This window comes from Homo sapiens, chromosome 10 (genome assembly GCF_000001405.40).
Source record: "Homo sapiens chromosome 10, GRCh38.p14 Primary Assembly".
Classification (NCBI taxonomy): Eukaryota; Metazoa; Chordata; class Mammalia; order Primates; family Hominidae; genus Homo; species Homo sapiens.
The window spans coordinates 38,803,140-38,813,562 of record NC_000010.11 but is presented as its reverse complement, the minus strand read 5'-3'; the positions used below and the strand labels follow the sequence as shown (position 1 = coordinate 38,813,562).

At 38.2% G+C, this 10,423-nt stretch overlaps 2 annotated features.

Moving 5' to 3' along the window:
• Positions 88 to 704: an enhancer, noted in NCBI's record as "OCT4-NANOG hESC enhancer chr10:39105990-39106606 (GRCh37/hg19 assembly coordinates)". NCBI's record gives its function as "activates a minimal SCP1, AML or CMV promoter by ChIP-STARR-seq in naive H9 embryonic stem cells {active_cell/tissue: H9 hESC(naive)}" and the evidence as "EXISTENCE:reporter gene assay evidence [ECO:0000049][PMID:30033119]".
• Positions 716 to 1,639: an enhancer, noted in NCBI's record as "OCT4-NANOG hESC enhancer chr10:39105055-39105978 (GRCh37/hg19 assembly coordinates)". NCBI's record gives its function as "activates a minimal SCP1, AML or CMV promoter by ChIP-STARR-seq in naive H9 embryonic stem cells {active_cell/tissue: H9 hESC(naive)}" and the evidence as "EXISTENCE:reporter gene assay evidence [ECO:0000049][PMID:30033119]".

Sequence of the window (10,423 nt, the reverse complement as noted above, 5' to 3'; positions counted from 1 at the left end):
GAATGGAATGGAATCGGACGGAATGGAATGGAATGGAATGGAATCAAATGGAACAGAATCGAATGGAATGGCATCAAATTGTTTGGAATTAATGGAATCGGATAGAACGGAATGGAATGGAATTTACTAGAATGGAATGGCATGGAATGGAACGGAATGGAATGGAAATGAATGAAATGGAAAGGAATGGAATGGACTTGTAAAGAATGGACACGAATGGAACAGAAAAGAATGGAATGGCATCGAATGGAATGGAATAGATTGGAATGGAATGCAACAAAATGTAATGGACTCAAATGGAATGGACTCAAATAGAATGAACTCAGAAGAAATGGTCTCGAATGGAATTTATTTGAATACAATGTAATCGAATGGAATGCAATAGTATGGGAGGGAATCAAACGGAATGGAATCGAATGGAATGCAATAGTATGGAAAGGAATCAAACGGAAAGGAATCAAATGAAATGGACCGGAATGGAATGGACTGGATTAGATCGGACTCGAATATAATGGATTTCAATGTAATTGATTAGAATGGAATTGAATTGAATGGAACAGAATGAAATGGAATGAAATGGAATGAAATGGAATGGAATAGAATGGAATGCAATGGAGTGGAATAGAGTGGAATCGAGTGGAATAGAATCGAATGGAATAAAATGGAATGGAACAGAATAGAATGGAATGGAGTCGAATGGAATAGACCAGAACAAATTGAAATAGAAGATATTGGAATCGCACAGAAAGGAATGGAATGTAAACGACTCGAGATTAATGGAATCAAATGGAATGGAATCGAATGGAATGGAACCGAGTGTAATGGAATTGAATAGAATAGAAAGGAATAGAATGGAATGGAGTGTAATGGAAAGATATCAAATGGATTGGACTGGAATAGAATGGACTCGAATGGAATGGGTTGGAATGGAATGTACTTGAATGGAATGGACTAGAGTAGAATGGACTCGAATGGAATCGACTGGAGAGGAATGGACTCGAAAGGAATGGAAACGAATGGAATGGAATGGAATAGAATGGAATGAAATAGGATGGAACGGAAAGGAATGGAATGTTTTAGAATGGAATTGAATCGAATGGAATGGCAAAAAATGGAATGGAATGGAATTCAATGGAATTGAATGGAATGGATTGGACTCGAATGGAATGGACTCGAATGGAATAGAATAGAATGGAATGGCATTGAATGGAATGGACCCAAATGTAATGGATTCAAATGGTATGGACTCAAACACAATGGACTCAAATGGAATGGTCTCGAATTTAATTTATTTGTATAGAATGAAATCAAAAGGAATGCAATAGTATGGAATGGAATCAAGTGGAATGGAATCGAATGGAATGTAATCAAATGGAATGGAATGGAATGCAATGGAATGGAATAGAATGGAATGCAATGGAATGGAACGTACTGGAATCGAGTGGAAAGGAATCGAATGGAATGGAATCGAATGGAATGTACTCGAATGGAATGTACTCGAATGGAGTGGACTGGCATAAAATGGAATCAATCGGATTGGAATGGAACAAAACTGGAATGGAATGGAAGGGAATGCAATGGACTCGGATGGAATGGAGTCGAAAGAAATGGAACCGAATGTAATGGAATTGAATGGGATCGAAAAGATTAGAATGGAATGGAATATATTGGAAAGATATTCAATGGAATGGAAAGGAATGGAATGGAATGCAATGGAATGGACTGGAATGGATTGGAGTAGCACGGATTGGACTGGAGTGCAATGGACTCGAATGGAATGGAAACGAGTGAAATGGAATGGAATGGAATGGAATGGAATGGAATAGACTGGAATGGAATCAGATGGAACGGAATGGAATGCAATGGAATAGAATCGAATGGAATGGCATCGAATGGAAGGGAATGGATTCGAATGGACTTGAATGGAATGGACACAAATGGAATTGAGTAGAATGGAATGGCATCCAATCGAATGGAGTGGAATGAAATATAAGGGAATGGAATGGACCCAAATGTAATGGACTGGAATGGAATTGACTCAAATAGAATGGACTCAAAAGGAATGGTCTAGAAAGGAATTTATTTGAATAGAATAAAATCGAATGGAAAGCAAAAGTATGGAATGGAATGGAATGGAATGGACAGAAATGGAATGGACTGGAATAGAAAGAACTCGAGTGTAATGGATTGTGATGGATGATTCTAATGGAATGGAATCGAATGGAATGTAATCAAATGGAATAGAAAGGAATGGAATGCAATGGACTGGAAAAGAATGGACGCGAATGTAATAGATTGCCATGGAATTGATTCGAATGGAATGGAATCGAATGAAATGTAATAAAATGGAATTGAATGGAATGCAATGGAATGTAACAGAATGGAATGCAACGGAATGGAACGAAGTGGAATCAGGTGGAATGGAAACGAACGGAATGGAATTGAATGGATTGGAGTGTAATGGAAAGATATCGAATGGAATGGAAGGGAATGGAATGGACTCGAATGGATGGGAATGGAAAGGAATGGACTCGAATGGAATTGACTGGAGTGGAATGGACTCAAATGGAATGGACTGGAGTAGAATGGACTCAAATGGAATGGAAAGGAATGAAATGGAGTGGAAAGGAATATAATGGAGTGGAATCGGATGGAATGGAATGGAAAGTAATGGAGTCCAATGGAATAGAATCGAATGGTATGGTGTCGAATGGAATACAATCGAATGGAATGGCATCAAATGGAATAGAATGAAATGTAATGGAATGGAATGGACTCGAATGGAATGGATTCTCATGGAATACAGTCGAATGGAATGGCATTGAATTGAATGGAATGGAATGGCATTTCATCGAATGGACCCAAATGTAATGGACTCAAATGGAATTTAATAAATGGAACGGGTTTGAATGGAATTCATTCGAATAGAATTGAATCGAATGGAGTGCAGGAGTATTGAATGGAATAGAATGGAATGGAATCGAACGGAATGGAACAGAATGGAATGGATTGGAATAGAGCAGACTCGTATGTAATGGATTGCAAAGTAATAATTTAAAACGGAATTGAATTGAATGGATTGGAATCAAATGTAATGGAATGGAATGCAGTGGAATGGAATAGAATGGAATGCAATGGAATGGAACTGAGTGGAATCGAGTGGAATGGTATCAAATGGAATGGAACCAGATGGAAAGGAATCGAATGGAATGGACTGGAATGGAAAGGACTCAAATGGAATGGACTGGAACACAATGGAATTGAACGGATCGGAATCGAAAGGAGCGGAATTGAATGCAATGGAAGGGAATGGACTTAAATGGAATGGAGTAGAAAGGAATGGACTTGAAAGGGATGAAGTAGAATGGAATGGATCCGAATGGAATGGAATCGAATGGAATGGAATTGAATGGAATCAAAAAGAATAGAATGAAATGGAGTTTAATGGAAAGATAATGGATGGAATGGAATGGAATGGACTCAAAAGGATTGGACTGGAATGGAATGGACATGAATGGAATGGACTGGTGTGAAAGGGACTCGAATGGAAAGGAAAGGAATGGAATGGACAGGAATATAATGGAATGGAAACGGATGGAACAGAATGGAATAGAATGGAGTGGAATGGAATAGAATCCAATGGAATTGCATCGAATAGAAAGCAATGGAATGGAATGGAATGCAATGGAATGGAATGGAATGAAATGGACTGGAATGGAATGGACTCGAATGGAACAGAATCGAATGGAATGGCAAGGAATAGAATGGAATGCAATGGAGTGGAATGGAATGGAATGGAACCAAATGTAATGGAATCAAATGGAATGACCTAAAATAGAATGGACTCGAAAGGAAGGGTATCGAAAGGAATTTATTCGAATAGAAAGGAATCGAATTAAATGCAATAGTAGGGAATGGAATCGAATGGAATGGCCCAGAATGGAATGGGCAGGAATAGAATGGTCTCGAATGGAATGGACTGCAATGTCATTGATTCAAAAGCAATGGAATCAAATGCAATATAATCAAATGCAATGGAATGGAATGCAATGGAATGGAATTGAATGGAATGCAATGGAATGGAACGTAGTGGAATTGAGTGGAATGGAATCGAATGCAATGGAATCAAATTGAATGGAATCGATTGGAATGGACTGGAATGGAATAGACTCGAATGGAATGTACTGGAACACAATGGAATCGAACGGATCAGAATCAAAAGGAGCGGAATTGAATGGAATGGAATGGACTCAAAAGGAATGGAGTAGAAAGGAATGGACTCAAAAAGGATGAAGTAGAATGGAATGGATAGGAATGGAATCGAATCGAATGGAATGGAATTGAGTGGAATCAAAAGGAATAGAGTGAATTGGAGTGTAATGGAAAGATAACGAATGGAATGGAATGGAATGGACTCAAAAGGATTGGACTTGAATGGAATGGACACGAATGGAATGAACTGGAGTGAAATGGACTCGAATGGAATGGAAAGGAATATAATGGAATGGAAACGGATGGAACAGAATGGAATGGAATGGAGTGGAATGGAATAGAATCCAATGGAATGGCATCAAATAGAAAGCAATGAAATTGAATGGAATGGAATGAAATGGAATGGATGGAATGGACTCGAATGGAACAGAATCAAATGGAATGGTAAGGAATAGAATGGAATGGAATGGAATGGAATGGAATGGAATGGAATGGAACCAAATGTAATGGAATCAAATGGAATGGACTAAAATAGAATGGACTCGAAAGGAATGGTATCAAAAGGAATGTATTCGACTAGAATGAAATCTAATTAAATGCAATAGTAGGGAATGGAATCGAAACGAATGGAATCGAATGGAAAGGCCCAGAATGGAATGGACAGGAATAGAACGGTCTCGAATGGAATGGACTGCAATGTCATTGACTCGAAAGCAATGGAATCGAATGGAATATAATCAAATGCAATGGAATGGAATGCAATGGAATGGAATTGAATGGAATGCAATGGAATGGAACGTAGTGGAATCGAGTGGAATGGAATCGAATGCAATGGAATCAAATTGGATGGAATCGATTGGAATGGACTGGAATGGAATAGACTCGAATGGAATGTACTGGAACACAATGGAATCGAACGATCAGAATCAAAAGGAGCGGAATTGAATGGAATGGAATGGACTCAAAAGGAATGGAGTAGAAAGGAATGGACTCAAAAAGGATGAAGTAGAATGGAATGGATAGGAATGGAATCGAATCGAATGGAATGGAATTGAGTGGAATCAAAAGGAATAGAGTGAGTTGGAGTGTAATGGAAAGATAACGAATGGAATGGACTCAAAAGGATTGGACTTGAATGGAATGGACACGAATGGAATGGACTGGAGTGAAATGGACTCGAATGGAATGGAAAGGAATGGAATGAAAAGGAATATAATGGAATGGAAACGGATGGAACAGAATGGAATGGAATGCAGTGGAATGGAATAGAAACCAATGGAATGGCATCAAATAGAAAGCAATGAAATTGAATGGAATGGAATGAAATGGACTGGATGGAATGGACTCGAATGGAACAGAATCAAATGGAATGGTAAGGAATAGAATGGAATGGAATGGAATGGAATGGAATGGAACCAAATGGAATGGAATCAAATGGAATGGACTAAAATAGAATGGACTCGAAAGGAATGGTGTCAAAAGGAATGTATTCGACTAGAATGAAATCTAATTAAATGCAATAGTAGGGAATGGAATCGAAAGGAATGGAATTGAATGGAAAGGCCCAGAATGGAATGGACTGGAATAGAACGAACTCGAATGGAATCGACTGCAATGTCATTGACTCGAAAGCAATGGAATCGAATGGAATATAATCAAATGCAATAGAATGGAATGGAATGCAATGGAATGGAATAGAATGGAATGCAATGGAATGGAACATAGTGGAATCGAGTGGAGTGGAATCGAATGCAATGGAATCAAATTGAATGGAATCGATTGGAATGGACTAGAATGGAATGGACTCAAATGGAATGGACTGGAACACAATGGAATCAAACAGCTCGGAATTGAAAGGAGTGGAATGGAATGGAATGGACTCAAATGGAATGGAGTAGAAAGGAATGGACTCAAAAGGGATGAAGTAGAATGGAATGGATAGGAATGGAATGGAATAGAATGGAATGGAATTGAATGGAATCAAAAGGAATAGAGTGAAATGGAGTGTAATGGAATGATAACGAATGGAATGGAATGGACTCGAAAGGATTGGACTTGAATGGAATGGACACGAATGGAATGGACTAGAGTGAAATGGACTCGAATGGAATGGAAAGGAATGGAATGGAAAGCAATATAATGGAAAGGAAACGGATGGAACAGAATGGATTGGAATGGAGGGGAATGGAATAGAATCCAATGGAATGGCATCAAATAGAAAGCAATGAAATTGAATGGAATGGAATGAAATGGAATGGACTTGAATGGAACAGCATCGAATGGAATGGCAAGAAATAGAATGGAATGGAATGGATTGGAATGGAATGGAATGGACCCAAATGTAAAAGAAACAAATGGAATGGACTAAAATAGAATGGACTCGAAAGGAATGGTATCGAAAGGAATTTATTCAAATAGAATGGAATCGAATTAAACGCAATAGTAGGGAATGGAATTAAAAGAAATGGAATCGAATGGAATGGCCCAGAATGGAATGGACTGGAATAGAACGAACTCGAATGGAATGGACTGCAATGTCATTGATTCGAAAGCAATGGAATTGAATGGAATATAATCAAATGCAATGGAACGGAAAGCAATGGAATGGAATTGAATGGAATGCAATGGAATGGAATGTAGTGGAATCGAGTGGAAAGGAATCGAATGCAATGGAATCAATTGGAATGGACTGGAATGCAATGGACTAGAATGGAGTGGACTGGAACATAATGGAATCAATCAGATTGGAATCAAATGGAACAGCATGGAATGGAATGACATGGAATGGTCACGAATGGAATGGAGTCGAATGTAATGTAATCGAATGGATTGGCATCAAATTGAATGGAATTGAATGGAATCAAAAGGAATAGAATGGAATGGAGTGTAATGGAAGATACTGAAAGGAATGGAATAGAATGGAATGGACTCGAATGGAATTGGCTGGATAGGAATGGACTCGAATGGCATGGAAACGAATGGAATGGAATGGAAAGGAATAGAATGGAATTGAATCAGATGGCATGGGAAAGAAAAGGAATGGTGTCGAATGGAATAGAATCGAATGGAAATGCATTGAATAGAATTGAATGCAATGGAATGGCATTGACTCCAACGGAATGGAATCGAATGGATGGGAATCGAAAGGAATGATATCGAATGGAATGAACTGGAATGGAATGTACTCAAAGGGAATGGACTGGAACAAAATGGAATCGAACGGATTGTAATTGAATGCAACGGAATGGAATGGACTGGAATCGAATAGAATTGAATTGAATTGAATTGAATTGAATTGAATTGAAAGGAATAAAAGGGAATGGATTGTAATGGAAAGATATCGAATGGAATGGAATTAAATGGAATGGACTCTAATGGAATGGACTGGAAGGGAAAGGACTCAAATGGAATCGACTGGAGTGGAATGGACTCAAATGGAATGGAAAGGAATGGAATGGAAAGGAATAGAATGGAATAGAATCGGATGCAATTGAATGGAATGGAATGGAGTAAAATGGAACGGACTTGAGTGGAATAGAATTGAATTGAATGGCATCGAAAGGAATGGAATGGAATTGAATGGAATGGACACAAATGTAATGGACTAGAATGGAGTGTACTCAAATATAATGGACTTGAAGGGAATGGTCTCGAATGGAATTTATTCGAATGGAATCGAATGGAATGCCATAGTATGAAATGAAATCGAATGGAATAGAATAGAATGGAATGGATCTGAATCGAATGGACTGGAATAACAAGGACTCGGATGTAATGGATTGCAATGTAATTGATTTGAATGTAATAGAATCAAATGAAATATAATCAAATGGAATGGAATGGAGTGCAAAGGAATGGAATAGAATGGAATGAAGTGGAAAGAAATGGAGTGGAATCGAGTGAAATGGAGTCAAATGGAATGGAATTGAATGGAATGGACTGGAATGGAATGGAATCGAATGGAATGAACTGGAACAAAATGGAATTGAATGGATTGGAGTCGAACGGAACAGAATGGAGTGGAATGGAATGGAATGGAATGGACTCGAATGGAATGGTGTCGAGTGGAATGGAATGGAATGGAATTTAAAGGAATAGAATGGAATGGAATCAGATGGAATGGAAAGGAATGGAATGGTGTCGAATGGAATAGAATCGAACGGACTAGCAACAAATGGAATGGAATATATTGGAATGGAATGGAATGGAATGGAATGGAATGGACCCAAACGTAATGGACTCAAATGGAATGTACTCAAATAGAATGGATTCGAAAGGAATGGTCCCCAATGGCGTTTATTCAAATAGAATGGAATCGAATGGAATGCCATAGTATGAAAAGTAATCGAATGGAATGAAATCAAATGGAATGGACTGGAGTGGAATGGACTGGAATAGAACGGACTTGAATGTAATGGATTGCAATGCAATTGATTTGAAAGGAGCGGAATCGAATGGAATGTAATGAAATGGAATTGAATGGCACGCAATGGAATGGAATATAATGGAATGCAATGGAATGGAACGCAGTGGAATTGAGTGAAATGGAATCGATTTGAAAGGAATTGAACGGAATGGAATTGAATGGATTGGTCTGGTTTGGAATGGTCTCGAATGGAATGGACTGGAACAAAATGGAATCGAACGGATTGGAGTCGAAAGGAAAGGAATGAAATGGAATGGAATGGAAAGGAATGGACTCGCATGGAATGGAGTCGACTGGAATGGAACCAAATGGAATGGAATTGAATGGATTGGAAGTGAAAGGAATAGAAAGGAACAGACTGTAATGGAAAGATATCAAATGGAATGGAACGGAATGGAATGGACTCAAATGGAATAGCTTCGAATGGAATGGACTGGAGTGGAATGGAATCGAAGGGAATTGAAACGAATAGAACGGATTGGAATGGAAAGGAATTGAATGGAATGTAATGGAATCAGATGGACTGTAATGGAATGGAATGGATTCGAATAGAACAGATCGAATGGAATGGCCAAGAATGGAATTGAATGGAAAGGAATTGAATGGATTCGAATGGAATGGTCTTAATGAAATGGAATCAAATGGAAAGGCATCGAATGGAATGGAAAGGAATGGAAAGGAATGGAATGGAATGGTCCCAAATGTAATGAACTTGAATGGAATGGACTCACATAGAATGGACTCGAAAGGAATGGTCTCGAATGGAATATATTCGAATACAATTTAATCGAAAGGAATGCCATAGTTTCTAAAGGAATTGAATGGAATAGAATCGAATGGAGTGGACTGGAATGGAATGGACTGGAATAGAACGGAGTAAAATGTAATCGAATGAAAAGTAATTGATTTGAGTGCCTTGGAATTGAATGGAATGTAATCAAATGGAATGGAACGGAATGGAATGGAATGCAACGGAATGGTAAGGAATGGAATGAAATGGAGCGGAATAGAATGGAAGTCAATGGAATGGAATCGAATGGAATGGACTGGAATTGAATAGAATCAAATGGATTGGAATGGAAAAAAATGGAATCGAACAGATGGAATCAAACGGAATGGAATGGAATGGAATGGAATGAAGTCAAATGTAATGGACTCGAATGGAATGGAATCAAATAAAATGGACTCCAAAAGAATGGTCTTGAATGGAATTTACTCGAATAGAATGGAATGGAATGGAATGCAATAGTATGGAATGGAATGCAATAGTATGCAATGGAATCGAATGGAATGGAATCGAATGGAATGGACCAGACTGCAATGCACTGGTATAGAACATACTCGAATGTAAAGGATTGCAATGTAATTGATTCGAATTGAATGCAATCGAATGGAATGTAATCAAATCGAAATGAATGAAATGCAATTGAATGGAATAGAATGGAATGCAATAGAATGGAATGGAGTGTAATAGAGTGGAATAGAATAGAATGGAATAGAATCGAATGTAATGGAATCTAATGGAATTGAATTGAATGGAATTGAATTGAATTGAATCGAAAGGAATAGAATGGAAAGGAGCGTAATGGAAAGATATTGAATGGAATGGAATGATCTCCAAATGAATGGACTGGAATGGAATGGATTCGATTGGAATGCACTGGGGTGTAATGGACTCGAATGAAATGGAAAAGAATGGAATGCAATGGAATGAAACGGAATGGAATGGATTGGAAAGGAACAGAATGGAATGGAATCAGATGGAACTGAACAGAATGGAATGGA